Below are 20385 nucleotides of genomic sequence, written 5' to 3'. Positions count from 1 at the left end.
TAATGCAATACTAAATGTCATCATAATAGTTAGGTCTCTCATGGTTATTCTGCATATTTGAGTTCAGTCATTCAAAATTTTTTTAAAAAAGAATAGATGTAAATAGTTTTGTACATGTAGAATTATTAACAATGTAAACATTTCTTTATGTTTGATAGTTACTAACCTGTCAAAATTCCATAATAATATGCTAAATAATATTTTTCTAAGTTACTTCAAGTGGCCACACAACAATTTCTAAGCTCGTTAAGGCAGTTAAAATATTTTACTCTACCTCCTCAGTAAGTTAATGTAGATACCTTAATGAAGAATGAAAGTCTTCCGTTTATCTTTACTAACCTATAGCAGGTCTTAGGAAATTAGTTTATTTCCAGCCACAAGTGCTAATCCTTTACATTTTAGATAAATTGTCCCTTACAAACACACAAATAACAGGTTTAAGGTAAAGGAAAAAGAAAAGAAAAGGTATTTATAAAATTCAACTCCAAGGCCTTCAATATTCTGGAATTTTGTTCATGTTATGTGCTTCAGAGGGAAGGTAATTTGTTCCTATCTTGAGTAGATCCAGAAAAAAGAGAAATTTCTGTTATTTTAGTGTATGACTCCTATTTGAGAAAAAATGACTATTTACTCCAAAATCACCCCAAATCTTAAAATTTATAAGGCTAAAGAAAACATGCTAAAAGTCAGAGGTGGGAGGAATTGAATCAGTCAGTACTCAACTGTGAATAACAGAAACATTTCTAGCACCACTTTATCTAGGAATGGATTTAGTGCTAGGAGTTAGGTTCTTAAAAAATTGTTGGAAGGGCCTGAGGAGCAGGAATGACTTCCAAAACACAGCCACAGAATTGCCCTGCTAAGGAACATCTTACCACTGCTGTAACCAAGAAGTTGTGCCAAGGATCACACCACAATAGCCATAACCCAGGGACAGAAAGCTGCCACCAGGACCACAGCCTCCCGAGCCCACCCCACCTAATACTAGCAAGTGGATGTTATATTTCCAAATTTAAGTCTCCTGCAGGTGCTCCTGATTGGCAGAAACTAAACCACATGGGAATCTCCAGATGCAAGGTTTTCTGGGAAATGAAATATTTAGCCTTCCAGCCTCTGCAGTACAGGAAGGCACACTACAGAGAGACTGGAACAGATGCTGGCAGTCAAACCACCGTTTGTGCCACAAGTGGGCAGTTCCATCACTATGCTGAAGTTTTGAACATTCAGTTAGTCTTTCTTCAATGTTTAACAAATTTATAATAAAATATCATACCAGGGAATGCTAAGAGACTATTATTCTCAAAATCAGTTGGATATATTTGAGAATAATATTCTCTCAACATTTCCCAGTATATATATATTAGTATATACATATGTCTATATATAAGTATATATGTATATATAGTATATATAAATAACAAAAATTCTATCTAAACATATTATATATTACATTATATATACATAATATTATATCTATATATATATATATATATATATATATATAGAGATATAGATATATGTCTCCAAACTTAGTTGTAGTCTTATGTTCCCTACAACTAACAGGCTTTTTCTGTTTTTTAATAAGATTAAGAAAAACAGGGGGGTTGCTTCCAAGATGGCCGAATAGGGACAGCTCCAGTCTGCAGCTCCCAGCGAGATCAACACAGAAGACAGGTGATTTCTGCATTTCCAACTGAGGTACCTGGTTCATCTCACTGGGACTGGTTGGACAGTGGCTGCAGCCTACAGAGGGCAAACCAAAGCAGGGCAGGGTGTTGTCTCACCCGGGAAGCACAGGGGGTCAGGGGATTTCCCTTTCCTAGCAAAGGGAAGCCATGACAGACTGTACCTAGCAAAACAGTACACTCCTGACAAAATACTGCACTTTTCCCACAGTCTACGCAACTCGCAGACCAGGAGATACCCTCCCATGCCTGGCTCGGCGGGTCCCACACCCATGGAGCCTTGCTCACTGCTAGCACAGCAGTGTGAGATCAACCTGGGACCCTGGAGTTTGGCAGGGGGAGGGGCATCCACCATTGCTGAGGCTTGAGTAGCTCACAGTGTAAACAAAGAGGCCAGGAAGCACCAACTGGACAGAGCCCACCATATCTCAGCAAGGCCTACTGCCTCTATAGATTCCACCTCTGTGGGCAGGGCATAGTAGAACAAAAGGCAACAGACAGCTTCAGCAGACTTAAACGTCCCTGTCTAACAGCTCTGAAGAGAGCAGTGGTTCTCTCACCAGGGCGTTTGAGCTCCGAGAATGGACAGACTGCCTCCTCAAGCGGGTCCCTGACCCCCATGTAGCCTGACTGGGAGAAACCTCCCAGTAGGGGCTGACAGACACCTCAAACAGGTGGGTGCTCCTCTGGGACAAAGCCTCCAGAGGAAGGATCAGGCAGCAATATTTGCTGCTCTGCAGCCTCCACTGGTGATACCCAGGCAAACAGGGTCTGGAGTGGACCTCCAGCAAACTCCAACAGACCTATAGCTGAGGGGTCTGACTGTTAGGAAAACTAACAAACAGAAAGGAATAGCATGAACGTCAACAAAAAGGACATCCACACCAAAACCCCATCTGTAGGTCACCAACATCAAAGACCAAAGGTAGATAAAACCACAAAGAAGGGCGGGTGCGGTGGCTCACGCCTGTAATCCCAGCACTTTGGGAGGCCGAGGCTGGTGGATCACGAGGTCAGGAGATCAAGACCATCCTGGTTAACATGGTGAAACCCGTCTCCACTAAAAATACAAAAAATTAGCCAGGCGTAGCAGCAGGCGCCTGTAGTCCCAGCTACTTGGGAGGCTGAGGCAGGAGAATGGCGTGAACCTGGGAGGTGGAGCTTGCAGTAAGCTGAGATCAAGCCACTGCACTCCATCCTGGGTGACAGAGTGAGACTGTCTCAAAAAAAAAAAAAAAAACAACTAAATAAAATAAAATAAAGAAAACCCCATGGTCTCAGCCCAAAATCTCCTTAAGCATATAAGCAACTACAGCAAAGTCTCAGGATACAAAATCAATGTGTAAAAATCACAAGCATTCCTATACACCAATAATAGACAGACAGCCAAATCATGAGTGAACTCCCATTCACAATTACTACAAAGAGAATAAAATACCTAGGAATCCAACTTACAAGGGATGTGAAGGATTTCTTCAAGAAGAACTACAAACCACTGCTCAACAAAATAAAAGAGAACACAAACGGAAGAACATTCCATGCTCATGGATAGGAAGAATCAATATCGTGAAAATGGCCATACTGTCCAAGGTAATTTATAGATTCAATGCCAACCCCATCAAGCTACCAATGACTGTCTTCACAGAATTGGAAAAAACTACTTTAATGTTCATATGGAACCAAAAAAGAGCCCGCATAGCCAAAACAATCCTAAGCAAAAAGAACAAAGCTGGAGGCATCATGCTACCTGACTACACTCTGTACTATAAGGCTACGGTAACCAAACAGCATGGTACTGGTACCAAAACAGAGATATAGACCAATGGAACAGAACAGAGGCCTCAGAAATAATGCCACACATCTACAACCATCTGATATTTGACAAACCTGACAAAAACAAGCAATGGGGAAAGGATTCCCTATTTAATAAACGGTGCTGGGAAAACTGGCTAGCCATATGTAGAAAGCTGAAACTGGATCCCTTCCTTATACCTTATACAAAAATTAATTCAAGATGGATTAAAGACTTAAATGTAAGACCTAACACCATAAAAACCCTAGAAGAAAACCTAGGCAATACCATTCAGGACACAGGCACGCACAAAGACTTCATGACTAAAACACCAAAAGCAATGGCAACAAAAACCAAAATTGACAAAAATGGGATCTAATTAAACTAAAGAGCTTCTGCACAGCAAAAGAAACTATCATTAGAGTGAACAGGCAACCTTCAGAAAGGGAGAAAATCTTTGCAATTTACCCATCTGACAAAGAGCTAATATCCAGAATCTGCAAAGAACTTAAACCAATTTACAAGAAAAAAAAAAACAACCCCATCAAAAAGTGGGCAAAGGATATGAACAGACACTTCTCAAAAGAAGACATTTATGCAGCCAACAGACATGAAAAAATGCTCATCATCACTGGTCATCAGAGAAATGCAAATCAAAACCACAATGAGATACTATCTCATGCCAGTTAGAATGGTGATCGCTAAAAAGTCAGGAAACATCAGATGCTGGAGAGGATGTGGAGAAATAGGAACACTTTTACACTGTTGGTGGGAGTGTAAATTAGTTCCATTTTAGAAGGCAGTGTGGCCATTCCTCAAGGATCTAGAACTAGAAATACCATTTGACCCAGCGATCCCATTACTGGGTATATACCCAAAGGTTTATAAATCATGCTACTATAAAGATACATGCACACATATGTTTATTGCAGCACTATTCACAATAGTAAAGACTTGGAACGAACCCAAATGTCCATCAATGATAGACTGGATTAAGAAAATGTGGCACATATACACCATGGAATACTATGCAGCCATAAAAAAGGATGAGTTCATGACCTTTGCAGGGACATGGATGAAGCTGGAAACCATCATTCTAAGCAAACTATCACAAGGACAGAAAACCAAACACCGCATGTTCTCTCTCATAGGTGGGAGTTGAACAACGAGAACACATAGACACAAGGTGAGGAACATCACACACTGTTGGTGGGTGAGTGGCTGAGGGAGGGATAGCATTAGGAGAAATATATAATGTAAATGATGAGTTGATGGGTGCAGCAAACCAACATGGCATATATATACCAAATCATGGCACATATGTAACAAATCTGCACGTTATGCACATGTACCCTAGAACTTAAAGTATAATTTAAAAAAAAACATAAAAGAGAATTACAGAGTGGATAAAGAAATGTTATAATATGTGTACATATATAAACTATAACAAAGCTATATATAAAATGAAAAAACAGAACTTCTGAGCAGGAAAAGATCACCAATTCCACTTCTTTAGCTTGTAGCTAAGTATACTAGAGTGGCTGCAAGCTTGGGCGTTAGGTAGAAACTCAGCCCCATCACATATTAGCTTTTGACCATGAGAAAGTTATTTCATCTCTTTCAGACTAAGACTCACTTCCTAGTCTCATTTTAAAAGGGGGGATATAGTGATACCATATCGTAGGTCTTTTATGAAGGTTAAATAAGATGATAATATATTCTATGTCAACTATTTCTTTAATCATAGGAGGTACATTTATGATTTCTGAAATCTGGAATAATTTTTTTTATTTTAACACTTTTAAAAAAGTGAATGCATCCATGCAGAAGAATAACTGTCACTGCCAGGCATTTACAGTATCTGTTGATCCAACTGTCACTTCAATTGAGGTGTTCATTTGTTTGTTGGGGTTATTTGTTGTACCACCGAATTTTTTCCAAAGATTGCATCCTGTGTACTTCCTAAAAATGATTTCAAAAACATTACACCACTATAAAGCTTGAGGGAAGAAAGTGATTGTGTGAAAATTATTCTAAAGCTAGGAGTTGTTGGTATGTCTACTTTATATGTGGTGAAAGCCTGTCACAAAGCATTGAACATCTATTTAAGCAAAAGCTTCCAACTGACTTTCAAGGGATGTTTACTGTCCAAGAAGACACAGTTCCATTAAGGAAAAAATGAAACCACAAGTTAACTAAATGGCAATGCCAAGAAAGCCCAAGTGCTTTTTGATATGCCTTATTGCAATAGTAGAGGTGCTTTAAAAGTCATAATCCCAAAAACTGATATCACAGAGTTGTGGCTTTTTGGAGAGGAATTACTTTTGACTAGCTGTAGTCATGCCCAATACTCCAGTACTGGTCAAAAGTAAATCCCCCCTCAAAAAAATCTTTAGGTTATTGATTGTGTGACCTAGATATAAACTCTGGATGAAATGCACTGAAGGAAAAAAAATAGGTCTATTGTTGTAGCGTTTCTTCCTTTCTTTTTCTTTCTTTTTTCCTTGTTATTCCAAAAGTTGCTATTACATTAATGGTAAATTACTGGCTATTTGGCGGTCATAGCATGGGAGATAAGCAGTTGCCGGTGATCAATCCACTCCAACATTCCTATTCTCCCAAGTCTTTGGACTCTTTTCTTTACATTTTGGCAAGAAATTTTGGCCATCAACTTCATTCAATGTAGGCCACATAGGTTTCAATCGGCCAACCAGCAGACAGGTTAGACCACTTCCAGCTGCTTAAGACAGTACACGTAATTCATAGAAATAAATTCAGCTCTATTTAAATTGTGTTTCCCCTTCCTCTCCCCAGTCTAGGCACTCAGAATTCATATTTACATATATTCTCAAGTCTCATAAATTTGTAAAATTTTATAAATGCAGGTGGGCATCATCCCACCTGTTGAGGGCCTGAACAGAACAAAAAGGCAGAGGAAAATAAAAAATAAGATATATATATATGATATATATAAGAGATATATATAAGATATATATAAGAGATATATATAAGATATATATAAGATATTTATAAGATATTTATAAGATATACATATGAGATATATATATGTGTGTATATATATATCATATATACATGTATCCTATTGGTTCTGTTTCTCTGGTGACTAACGTAAATGGCTTTCTCTGTTGCCTTATAATAATGGTGGTTATCAAGGAAATAATTAGAAGCCAAGACCCAAAGAAGCAGAATGATCTGACCCAGGTGACACAGAGAGTTAATGGTAAACCCAAGCACTGTACAGCTGGCAGATACGGATGTTGTCATTGCCCAGGCCCAGTGACAGAGGTGATTCTCCCAGCTACCTGTGAGGTAGACTGACCTCTCGTCTCCAACCTCTAGTCTCCAACTGGAAAATATTCGTTATACTTCTCCAACTTTTATTTTTATTGCTAAATCTTTTCACTCTCAAGGCTATTTCAATGTCAACTTATGACTGATTCAATGCAATTTACTTTTATTTTTTAAAATACCTTGAGAACTCCATATAAGTTAGAAACTATGCTAGGCATAGGTAGCAAACAGGACAGACAAATCACTACTAACAAACAAGATTCCATCACATTGCAAATTGTTTCTAGACTTCAAACCCCTCCAGGTTTATTACATTGTTTTTTAGCAGGAGGTTTTATTTTTTTAAGTTTGGAAAGAAAAAAACAAAAATTATGGTTTAGCCCTATATATAATTTTCATTTTTCCACCCCTCTGTACTTACTTACTAGTTGCTTACAGGTCAGAAAAAAATCATGCATCTTGGTTTACATTAAAAGGGACAATTTAGTGAATAAGTATTTATTAAAATCTCCCCAAATTTCAAATACAATTGATTCTTGTTATTCATGATAATTATGTTCTATAAAGTCACTACAAACACTGAATTCACAAATGCTGAACCATTACTCTTAGGAGAAATTGATGGTTCAATTCCTGCAAGCCTCTAGTCACAACATTTTTGTCAACCAATCAAAACATAACGTTGTTTTATGTGTGTTTCAGTATAAGGACACCTTTTAAAATACATATTGTTGACTTATTAACATAGAAATCATGGCCAACATGTCTGAACAAGGCTTATCTAACACATATTTCTTCCGTAAGACACATCACAGCCTTCTTGCACTTAGGAACACTAGGCGGCACTCCAGTTGTCTATGCTTGGGGATCATTCCAAATCACCAAAGAAAAGCAAAAGAAAAACCACAAAAAACATGACACTAAATACACCAAGTGAAAACACACGTTTATAGTAGGAAAGCTGAATCAAGAAGGCAGAACATCACTTGCTTAAGCCTCAGCTGGGAACATGTGAATGGGCCAACCAAAATTTTCACCATTCTGTACATGTCTATGAATGACTACAAAAGTACCACAAGTATTGATTGGAGGAGGGGAGTTACAAATAAATTTTAGCAAGTAGGAAAATTATCAAAATTGAATCCATGAATATTGAAGGTCAGCTGTACCTGTCCTAGAAGAAAGGAAAGTGTAACCTCATCCTGATTTTTAATAACTTCTTATAACACCAAGATATAGTTAATAAATGCTTAAGAATTAATGAAGAACACTTGCTGATGGGGCATTAAAATGACAACAAAATGCACAGCTAAGAAAATGTAAGTTCATTCCTTCTTATGAATGGCCTAGTACACAATCACAATCATAAATATTTGTTGAATGAATGGAATTGGGAACACTGCTCCTCTTGCCCCTTTGCCCGTAGAATATGAAGTTCATTATAAGGCTGGTGAACTTGGAATGTACAACAAAATCTCATTATTTGCAACCCCCGCCAGATTTGGAATTCATAAAATCAAGAAAAATCATCTGGATGAATTTTACATTTAGACTCAATTAGAAAGCAGTTTAGAAAATATCTTTAGTTGTAAAGGGAAAACCTTCAAAGCCATCTAGTAAACAGGAAAAACAAGTTTTCAAAAATATTTAGATGTGACAGTTAATGTATTTAAAATGCATATTCAATTAATCCTGACCTCATTTCAAAAGAACAACTTTTTTGAAATTTTTGTTAGTCTAGTTCTTTTTCTGTATGAGCTTTGAAAAAACAAGATATCATTTTCTAAAAAGTCATAATGAAAACTTTCTGCTGATTCAGATTTATTCACTAGCCTTTGACCTAAAAAAAGGCATTTTCCTTATAATCTGTGTGCTCTGACATTTGATGATTCTATTATTTTTCTAGATCACTGAGGTCAGTTTTACATTGACTATACATACCTACAATGAGTCTTCATCTTCTGCACAATGATCGCTTTCTCTTTATCTTTAGCCCCTGTTTGGGGTTGATTTTAGAGATATTTTCTCCTACTCCTTTTCTTCCTCCCTTTTCTCTTCCTTCTTTCTAAATTTGAGATTAGATCTAAAAGTACATATCCATTTTATTGCTAGTTTTAAAATAAGAATCTATAAGTTTTGAATTCAATACTTGTATTGAACTGATATTGTAATACCAATAGTTATGGTATTAATTCATATTAATAAAAACCACTTTCTTTCGATAGACACATACCTCATATGTCATCACAACAATCCAAAAAGGTAGGTGGTATTCTTATCTCCTCACTCTAAAGGTGAGAAATATGAGATTGGCATAGGAAGGTTAAAAAATTTGTTCTAGGCTTTCCAACTAGGAAGTAGAAGAACAGCCATAGGTTACAACAGTCTTGTATTTAACCATTAAACCATTCAGCCTCTGGCAGATACAAGACATGGGCATTAAAGGAATGCCTGACCCCAGTGCTTCATTAACATTCCTCCTACTAAGGAGATCATCATGATTTTATCTCCTCTTAACATATTACTTACAAGGTTGTTTAAGTCCTTTAAAATATTAAATATTTAATTAGTCCTATTACAGCATCTCCCTGAGGCAAATAGTTAGACTGTATAATTGTTATGTTGGTTAAAAAGAAGAGCAAAAGGAAGCTTGAGCATAAATTAACAATAATAAAACAGATCATTACATTTCATGCCTGGAGAATAACATGAATAACTCCCTTCAAGTAAAATTGTAAGGAGATCATTAAAATCAGTCTTTAGAGATGACCTTAGTCATTACACTTTAACTGGGTGTCCACACAATCAAAATGACCAGTCGATCCATTAAATATAAGGTTACCATTCTCATCCATTATTTCTCAAAGTGTCCACAAAGACTCCTGTATATAAGTCACCTGGAAGTTTTGTTTAAAATAGAGATTTTAGTATTTACATGAATTATTTTCTGTTTTTTAGCAAGCATTGCCAAGTGATTTTGGGGCAAAAGATCAACCAAATTTTTAAGGCTTTGTTCTTATTCATAATGAATATATATAAAACATTATTTCTGCTGAAATAATAGTTCAGAGTTTTATTCCCTGACCATCTGCAAACACATTGAGAGTTGAGACTCCATGCTTTAATCAGTAATTATTCCACTGTCTGGGAAAGAAACAAACAACACTGGGCCTCAAAATCGTTTAATGCCTAATGACCTTGTAGCTATAATCTTTAATCATCGTTAGCAATGCTAGGAAAGATACTTGAGATTTACGTTGTTTTTTAGAGGGCTTAAGACTAAGTCATGTGCTCTCAAAATCTGGTCTCCTCCATTATCTAATCAGAAGAGGTTTGCAACAGTGAGAGTTCCACTAAGAAGAGAAAAATGCTTTTCACAGTGGGATGTCAACATTCCTGCCAACATCCCTAATATTCTAAGCCTCTTTGAACCAATGGCAGAACATTTTATTACTTTAACACTCATCTGAAAATTCAAACTTACGGAGATCTAGCACTAGCCAAAAAAGCCCACTTCAAGTATATCTAATGCAAGAGGGAGGCTCAGTCTAAGCAAAATATTAAATTACACATATAGACAAGACTCTCAAACTCTTTTCACTGTATTTTGTTTCTGAGCATCAAAAAATAATATACTCCATCAAATTATTTTCATTCCCCCCAAAACCATTACATAAAATCTAAATTCAGTTATGACCTTAGCATTTATGGAAGACTGGCATGAGAAAGGTATATTTTTGTAACACTTTTCATTTTCTTTGCAAAAAAGCACTATATTATGTGTTATGCTACCTTATGAACTTTTAGAAAAAGAGACTTCTAATATACTTCTCTTAATATTCAGTCACAGGAAAACTTGTTTCTCTCCAGATGAACATGAATGATTCTATTCATCCCACTCTGAGAACTCGGCAGCCTCTTACATTTTCCTTTTGACTTCACAGCCTAGAAGATGAAAATTAAATTCGGTTTTCAACTGCAGCAACTAATTCATTTCATATGCATGATGTAAGTATGTTTCACCTTCTTAAACTTGTTTCTATAATTTTTCTTTTTATCTTGTCTGTTTTAAGTGAGCTTTATCACTGGAAGTCACTTCTAATGTTTTGAAAGGGTAGACAAGGAGAAAGTCAAAAAATTTTTTTAAGAATTAAGCAAGCAAAGGTAAATTTGGAGGAAAATGTGACAAGAAGATTACTCAGATACACGGAGAGATCAAACAGTTAGGACAGAATCAATTTTTCTTGTTTTATAACCACAAGGCTATTTAAACTGACAATAATACCACCAAAACAGATCACTAAGAAATGTCACAGAAGACAGCATCCGACATGACTCTTGTTAGACTAGCTCAAAGCCGATGTGAAAGCAGAACAGCTGAAGGATAATGAAATACAGTCTAGCTTGTAATTAAGTAAAAATCATAAAGGCCCAGAGACCAAAAAGCATCTCAAATGGAATTTTTTCAGTACCTTGTATTTAACTGCCTGAAACTATTTTTTAAGAACCATACTTGCAGTCTTAAACTTTAATGTGCATATAAGTCACCTGGGGAGCTCCTTAAAATGCAGATTCAATTTGGATCCCATAGTACTGGGGCTTGGGATTCTGCATTTTAGGTGACATGAGGCAGCTAGTTCAGGATAGCACTGTGGAGTGGCACCTTCAGAGCTAGATATGACCAAATCAAATCCCAGCTTTACTACTTAAAAGCTGTATGTCATTGGCCGAGTCCCTTAACATCTCAGACCTTCAGTTACCTTGTGGCAGGCCAGGTCTCACTAACAACTGTTTCAGTACTGACTGAGTGCTTAAGTTAAATATTAAAAGCCAGTGACCTTATACAAAGGCTGAGATATAACAAAAGCCTGTCAAGAGTTTTGCCTAGGCCTTTCCCGGGCCTTATATCATGACAAAATAACAAAAGAATTCTTAACAGGACCCATTTAGGATGAAACAAGTTTTACTGTGAGTCTGAAGAAACTCCCCAGGCTTCCACAAACAGGTTTATTGGGGGTCTGAAGGAACTCCTCAAACCTCCGTGATTTAGCAAGAGACAAGATAAGGGTAATCACCCCAGCACCTCAACCCATTTAGATTAAATAAATTTACTGAGCCTCCAGAGGAAGGTCTTCAGAAATCAGACCTTAGTTTTAGATTAAAAGAAGTTAATCACTTACGTCTTTAGATGAACGCACAACTACACGTAGACGTATAGCTTAGAAGGTATATAAGCTCTGAAAAACTGTAATTTTGAGTTGATCTGGTATAACTTCCAGGCCTTCTCCCTGTAACAAGTTACAGAAATAAAAACTCTCTTCCTCCCCAGTTCATCTGCATATCGTTATTGGGCCACAAGAAATAGCAGCCCGACCCTCAGTTTGGTCCGGGAACAACCTCATCATTTGCATGACAATGACAGTATCTACCGTGCACAGTCCTTGGAAGGACTTAAAAACCTCCTAAGGTTTTTGACCATGATAAAAGCGTGGTCAAATAATGCCCTACATAAATATTCTTTGTTTTGGCTGTCTTTGTTATAACAGAACATTGCCTTTGGATTTGGAATGTTATAATTTGGATGTAAGTAGAAAAATAAGCGAAATGAAAACCCAGATTATATGAAATGAATTTTAATGTTAAAGTCTGATGTGGATGTTTTTGTTTGTGCACATGTATGCATGTGTAAGTGAAGCTACACTTAAAAGTTTCACACCCTTTGTACTGATTACTATATAACCAAAATCTGTGATATTTTCCCTCATTTTTATCTAATAACCAAGAATCTTTATGTAAGGTAAAATGAACAAGGCCTGGAGAATAAATGAGAAAAAAAGGGGTTCACATTTGAAAGAAAAGACAGGCAGCAGAGGTAAGCAATCAAACAGTATTTTCAAACCTCTGGTTACTTTGCATGGCTGTTGAATCTAAATTCTCATGTTTAGTCTTAAAAAAAAAAGAGTAGTGGAAAACTAGCATAAAATGGGGCTTCTCACCTCAAATTCTTTGTAGGATCAGGGAAAGTGTAAACATTATATAAATAAATAAAATTTCTAAAATTCCACGAAACTATATTAATAGTTTAGGCAACTTAATTAAGAAATTTGTTAGTAATAACCAGAAAGCTGTTATGAAAAAAAGCTTTCTCACAGAACTCATGACAAATTTTTACTGGTTTTTCAATTGATTTTTGACATCAGGTTATATTCAGGGTCTAGGAAAACCTTCTTTTCTGTTTTAAAAAAATCAAGCCTTAGCCTAAAGTATAAAGAAACCTTGGAGAGTTTCATTCTAGTATGCAGAAATGGTGGTATTTTGCTATACCTAAACTATGATGAAATCTCTGAAACTGCATAGCCAGAAGCAAAACCTTCAGGAGACTAGTAACACTTTAACATTTCCAGTTCACATGTGAATGTTAATTCTACTCTCTGAAGAGTACCACCAAAATGGCATTCATTAAGATTAAAGCCATACTACTATAGAATGGGAAATTTATATGTACGCTTCCTATAAAATGCAAATATTACCAAAGAATGGGTCTCCACTGAGTTCTTTCTATATCTATTCCTTTGCAAAGTTAAATCACACTGGTGAAGCTCTTTCATGAAGGCAATATAAAATTCTTAAGTAGCAGGCACTTGCCGCTCTGGTGCCAAGGTAGCCCCTTAGGTTGTTGACAATTACCTGTACCCCTGATGAATGCCCACTCTTAAAGCAAGCACAAGGCCCTGGTAATAGGGGAAGACAGGAGATGTTTTAGAATTTCAGAGCCTGGTAAAATGGAAGCGGCTTCTGCAAAACGAAACTTCTGATTGGGGTTGTCTTGCCCTTGGATCAAACGTCTTACCTGGTTAAGTCCCTTGAAGAATGTGATTTGCAATGGCTTTTTTCCATGATTTGAGAAAAAAAAAAAGTGTTACATAAAAACCAGAAAATGATAGAGCTGTATTTTTCTCACTGTTTTTTAAAGTAATATTTGTAACCGGTTTTCTGATAAACTACTGTACAAGAAAAATAATTTTTTTTCCTCTGTACTCTCACAATACTTCTGACACCAAATATGTGGGGTTTTTTTCCACACCAAGCAATTCTCTAACTACCCAAACGTCAGCTGGGTGTCCTGCAATTCAATTCAGTACTGACACTATCTACTTGGAGTTAGCATCAAATCCCACATTAAAGGCTCAGTTCCACAAGACTGCCTCCCACTTCGGATACCAAATGCAAGTTCAGGCCTCTAGCACTTCTGACCAACTGGCTATAAATCAGTGGTTACCATGACCACCCTCCTCAGGTTTCATCATTTGTTAGGACTCACAGAATTCAGAGAAACACTTGTTTATGCTTACTTGTGAGACAGACAGGTGGGAAGGGCTTCCTGGAAAAACTGCAGCTGGCCTGCACACTAGGCTGGAACCACGGAAGTTAGTGCCCTTTTCATAGGGGAGGAGCCCGGCCCCTCCTCTTCCTGTGTGGAATCTGGGATTCAACCTGCGAGGCGGGAAGCCCACAGGCAGGAAGCACACTCTCACTTCGCTAAGAGTCTGTTTCCCCTTTTTGCCCAATAAATCCCATTTTTCTCACTCTTCGAATCATCTGTGAGCCTAAATTTTCGTGGCTGTGTGATAACGACCCCCATCTTTAGCTGAACTAAGGAAAAGCCCTGCAACATTTATTATATAATAAAGGATATGATAAAGGGTACAACCAGCCACATGAATAGTTACATAGGATGAATTACTACTGCAGGGGTTTCTGTCCCCATGGAGTTGGGGTGCATCCACCTCCCAGCACATGAATGTGTTAATTAACCCAGAGGCTCTCCAAACCTTGTCTTTAAGGGTTTGTTATGGAGGCTTGAACACATAGGCACAATCTATCATTAACTCAATCTCCAGCCCCCATCTCCTTTCTGGAGAATGTGAAAGTGGGGCTGAAAGTTCCCAGCTTCTAATCATAGCTTGGTCTTTCTGGTGACCAACCCCAACCCTGAAGCTATCTAGGAACCCACCAAGAGTCACCTCACTAGAACAAAAGACACTTCTATCACCCAGAAAATTCCACAGGATTTAGGAATTCTGAATCAGGAACTGGGGTCAAAGACCAAATATTAGAACAAAAGATGCTCTTAACACTCCTATCTCTTAGGAAATTACAAGGGTTTAATGAACTCTGTGCCAGGAAATGGGGACAAAGACCAAATTTAAATTTCTTATATCACAATATTGCAACTACAATATTCAAGTTTTACACATAAGGAAACTGAGGCACAAGGTAGCTGAAGAGCCTCCATGAGGCCTTACAATGCAATTTGATTCCAGTCTGACTGCTGAGACACTTCTCTCAAACACTACACTCTACTGCCTCTCATTCACTATAGTATTCCTCAGTGTCTGTCACATATCAGTGCTCAATAAATATAAGTGAAATGAATGAGACATTTCATAACCCCTGTAGCCGTCACCTACTAGAAGTGAGGTCTTTGAGGGGAGACACTGTCTTATTCATTTTGTCCTAATCCCCAGTACCTAGCATAATGCCATAGGGTGGATGCTCAAAAGTTGTTTGATGGATGAAAAATGAATAAATGTGTAAATACAGACTCAGATAGCTATAGGTAATATAAACCAGAAGTGGACAAATCACATGGTAAAATAGGAAAGAGTGGGTATAGTTCTCCATCTTCTCGCAATTCCATGTAGTGGTCTAGAATAATGAACGCAATGATCAATTGTATTATTTAGTTTCTCTTATCAAGCTGTTAGTAGGATACAGAATAGAATTGTGAATTCTTGTTTGCAAAAATCCCCCGTTTTTATGATGTATATAATAATGGGTCCCAGAAGAAGAGCTATATTAAAAAACAAAATGAAGACAAGAAAATAACCATATCAAAGATGAATAAAAACTTAGATACACAAGCAGTGCTTCTGTCCAGTAAAGTAGTCTTGGTAGCAGAGGAAAGTAAATACTTTCCCCTGGAGCATAGCAAAAAGCAGCCTGCCACAGCACAAAATTTCATGGAGGTCTCTTTTTTTAATCTTAAAAATTCATCTTTATTTTCATTCTGAGGTATCTCAATTTTTGATTTACCACAAAAATAATGTTTGATTACTTACCATTATGTAAAATGAAAAGACCACCATCTTTTCCTTTAGCATTCAGTACTGTGGAATATGTTAGCCTATTTGAGAAATCAGGGACCATAGCATCTGGCAAAGACTTTCATTTAGAAGCCTAAATATTTAGAAGCACCTTACAAATTCATTAAGTGAGATATAGAGAACCCAAATAAGCATAATGAAATTAGGTTAATTTGGCATGAGAAATAGTATCTGTGCATTCAGCAAATATACTTCCTTAATAACCGTACTGAACAACCATATATAAAGGTAAACAAATACTAAAGCTAGCTATGATAGCTATTACTCAGGCTCAGAAATATTTGTTTCTCCTATGCAACCTGGGTAGATTAAACTTCCCTGGGTCCCTGAATCTGGCCATGGTGTGTTATTTGTGAGGTGAATAGAATGTTACTGGAAGTCACCTGTGTCAATTCCATGTGAAAGCATTAGAGTTAACATGCAATTTACCATGTTCTCTTTTCCCCACCACACTGACTAATAAGGCTATCTGTTCCAAAAAGTGCAGTTCCAGGATAATGCCACCTTCCCCAGCTGGATTGCTGAGTTGTCACACAGAGGCAGTTGTATGGGAGAGTTACTCTGAAGAAGAAATAAACTTTCGCTACGTTAAAGCCACTGAGTTGTTGTTACTGCAGCAGAACCTAACCTATCCTGGCTAACACCATCCCAGGTGTTAAACTCAAATAGACCAAGCTACATAAACATTAGATATCCCTATCTTATTTGTGCTTTATTAGTCCAGAGCTACAAGCAACATTCTATAGGCAATATGGTTATTTGTACTCTCTGCCTAACAGCTTTGGCTAAATTTATTCATGAACTGTTCTTTAAAAAAATAAATCTGCCAAAGTGGTTATTCAGCAGTATGTAAACAGTCAATTGGTGCTTTTCTTTTAAAACCGCTTTCACTGGTTGTAAAGAGAAAAACACGTAGCAGACTATAAAGTTCTCTACTGACATAGATAATATTGGTGAATATGCTACATTAAATACTAAAACTATCAGCAAATTACACCATGAAGCAAATACAAACCACCAAAAAATTTACAATAAATTCTTTTAATTATTAACTTTTAGTTATTCATTAACTTTTAAAATTCTGATGTCATATTATTTAACATCTCAACCAATTTTGGAAGTTATACAAACTTTTTTTTTTTTTTTTACTAGGCTCTATCCATCTGTGCCAGGGTTTCTTAACCTTTGCACTATTAACATTTCAGACTTGATGGTTTTCACTGTGGTAAGGGACTGTCCTGTGCATCCCTGCCCTCTGTACACTAGATGTCAGTAGCACTTCTGCAATTGTGACAATCAAAAATATCTCCAAACATTGACAAACGTCTAGTGGGGAGGGAGGACGTATCACAAAATTACCCCCAATTGAAAACTACTAACCTATTCCAGAGGTCCACAAAAAATAAAATATGAATTTCATCTGACAGCTCTATTGCTGCCTTACTGAAGTGATTTACAATAGTACATAGAGGTGATATAACAGGACTTTACTTTCATTATTGCACAAAGAAAACACAGTAAGTACCAAAACTTAGATAATAAAAATTTGCAAAACTAACAAAATAATTACTAGAAATCCCATCTCGATTAGCATGTTTATAGGCATGTCTTTCTGGATTCATTCATTCAACAGCTAGTTATTGAATAACTGCTTCATGTTGGGCACTGTGTATATACCAGAGATAAGAGTGTTAAGCCAGACAGACAAGATTCCAGCCTTCCTGGAGCTTACAGCCTCATGGGAGAAACAGATTCAGAGCCTTAAATATCAATTGCAAATGAAGATGTGTCATAAAGAAAAGTGCAGGTGCCTATGATACCACAGCACTGGGACTGGTTTAAGTGTGGCATCTTTGAAGAACTGTCGTCTTAATTGAATAGAAAGCTATGTCTAACTAGTTGGCACTCAAGTAGTACTTACTAACCACCAGGCATTTTTCTCACATTCTATTTTTTAAAACTCATTTAATCCTCTCAACAACTGCATGAGATAACTATAATTATTACTAAAATAATTAATTTAGTAATTATTTCTGAAATAAAATAACTGAAAATGAATACAGAGAGACCAGGTGCCTTTTCCTAGATCACAAAGCTAGTGTGTGGAAGAGGCAAAATTTGAACTGGTTCATGTTCCTAAGGACTAACCCATCAGCCTTCCACCCCCAACATGAGCCAATCCCAGCAGAAGGAGGCAGTGTTGTCCTGTCCTGTTCACTTTGTCCACAGGCTGGCAGAGAGTGTGTTTCTCTGTTTCCCTGGCAAGGAGGAGTGACCTTCCAGTCACCGAGGAGAGAGTACTGAAATCCACCTCATTATATATTTATGGTAGTTTCCTAGTTAAATGCAGCCTCCTCCTTAAATTCTTTCTTGGGAGGAGATGAGGTATGCATTATTTATAAATTATTTAATTATTGTGGGAATTAAGCAACAGAACACTCTGACACTATAATTGAAGAGAGGTAGAAGGTTCCAAAAGGCTGAATTCACAACAGCAAATTGTTCAAATACATATTTTTGATTAGTCAGGAGTTTCGACAGAATTTCCAGGCTAACAAGCTAATATGCTCTCATCTGAAATGAATACTTTCATTCAGCATCTATATGTTGTACGTGTGTGTTTGCAAGGAGCTGAAGTGAAATCTCCTCATGAGAATTATTTCTAATATCCTAAATGATCTAAATCACACACTAGCTATGGTGATAATGATTAATCATATAAGTCTTATACATTATATAAGTATGATAAAAAGGATTTCAATACTCCTGAATATGTTCTTTTTATTGCTGTTCTTTTTTTGAGGTACTGTTGGTTTGATTTTTACATGACCATATTATATAGAAATTCTAAATGTTTCTAAAGGGAATAATGAAGTGACTTTTGATTTTTAACTCACTTCCTATAAGGATGATGCCTCTTTTCAGAATTTATGATGTATATAATTATCTCAGTTGGTTAGAATGGCTTTGATCCACATGTCACTTTGCCCTGTGGACATAGCTGCTTTGGGTCCCTCAACATAATCTATTATCAAATTTTTAAAAAGACCCAAAGACATTAGGGACTAACAATTTTATCTTCTTATGTGATGCACCTTTCAGACAGCAAAATCACAGGGAGTGGGGTACTCTGATTAATTCCATATTCTAGATAATTGACAATTATCTAGGAAAGCCTTAGCATCTCATTTCTATAGGTGAAAATATTTGCAACATGTATCTGTACATGTTCGTGTTTTTGTAAGTAATACTTAAATGTCCGTGTGTGATGGTTAATTTTACACATATGTGTCAACTTGACTGGGCCACAGGATGCCAGATATCTGATTAAATATTATCTCTGGATGTATCTGTGAAGGTGTTTCAGAAAGATTCGCATTTGGATAGGTGGACTAAGTAAAGCAGATGACCCTCCCTAACGTGGGAGGGCTTCATCCCATCCATCCAGGTGTTGAGTAGAACAAAAAAGAGGAGAAATGTTGGATTTGCTCTCTCTGCCTAGCTTTTGAGCTGGGACATCAATCTTCTCCTGCCTTCAACACTCTTGGTTCTCAAACCTTGAGACTGGGGATAATATCTACACCATTGGTTCTCTGGCTCTCAGGTCTTTGAATTACATCACAGGCTTTCTTGGGTCTCCAGTTTGTAGACAGCAGATCTGGAACTACTTGACCTCCATAATTCACAAGAGGCAATACCCTATAATAAATGTCTTTATATGTGGTGTGTGTGTGTATGTGTGTGTGTGTGAAGGTTCTGGAGAATGGTGACTAATATACCATGTGGGAATGGATGATGGATGTCCCCATGATATGGGGACAAAGGATCATAGCATGGAAATTTAAGATAATTTTACAATATTGCAAATGGAAGTGTCAGAATAGCACAAGATTGAGTTGAATGTGTACACATCTCAGGATATTCACTGACAATTGCTTTAAAAAATACTAATGTCAATTTATTCTATTATCACTTGCCTCATTAATCAAAAAGTGAACTTCAAAAGAAAATGGGCTTGATTCTGTTCAACTGTTATGGCATGATGAACAACTGGGAGGCACAAAAAGAATTTGTTTGATAATTTAATTCCCATGATAGTTTTTTTTTTATTTCCCCCAACCAGAAAAAAAATCTTTACTTTCTATTACTATTGTTGTAATTATCAGCTGTTTTGAAAATCACACAATAATGTCTACTATAATTCTAATATTGTCTAATTGTATTATTGGTGATTTATCAGCCAATTAAGAAGAAGCAATACATTAGATTAAAAAGTGGTGTATGTGTATGTGTTCGTATTTTTAAACCACCTCACATGTGCTGCTTAAACCTAAGTCTTTTTGAAATTTTTGACAGGATTCTCTCTTGCCTTTATCCTTCTGAGTATTGTTTTTCTTTTTAAAGAAAAGGTATTGAGTAATTTTCCTGT

The 20385-nt window shown here is 36.8% G+C and overlaps 1 long non-coding RNA gene across 1 annotated transcript in view; it reads right to left on the bottom strand.

Moving 5' to 3' along the window:
* Positions 1 to 8876: 8876 nt before the first annotated feature.
* The window catches only part of LOC107986815 (uncharacterized), a 32906-nt gene continuing 21397 nt past the window's right edge, over positions 8877 to 20385 (bottom strand). Inside the window, exons 2-3 of the long non-coding RNA XR_001745260.2 lie at positions 11970 to 12077; positions 8877 to 10734 (exon numbers count right to left, since the gene is read on the bottom strand). This is a non-coding gene — a long non-coding RNA (uncharacterized LOC107986815). The remainder of the gene's footprint in view (positions 10735 to 11969; positions 12078 to 20385) is intronic.

The sequence above is a fragment of the Homo sapiens genome, chromosome 7 (genome assembly GCF_000001405.40).
Source record: "Homo sapiens chromosome 7, GRCh38.p14 Primary Assembly".
In the NCBI taxonomy this organism is placed as follows: Eukaryota; Metazoa; Chordata; class Mammalia; order Primates; family Hominidae; genus Homo; species Homo sapiens.
This window is presented reverse-complemented; position numbering and strand designations above follow the sequence as displayed.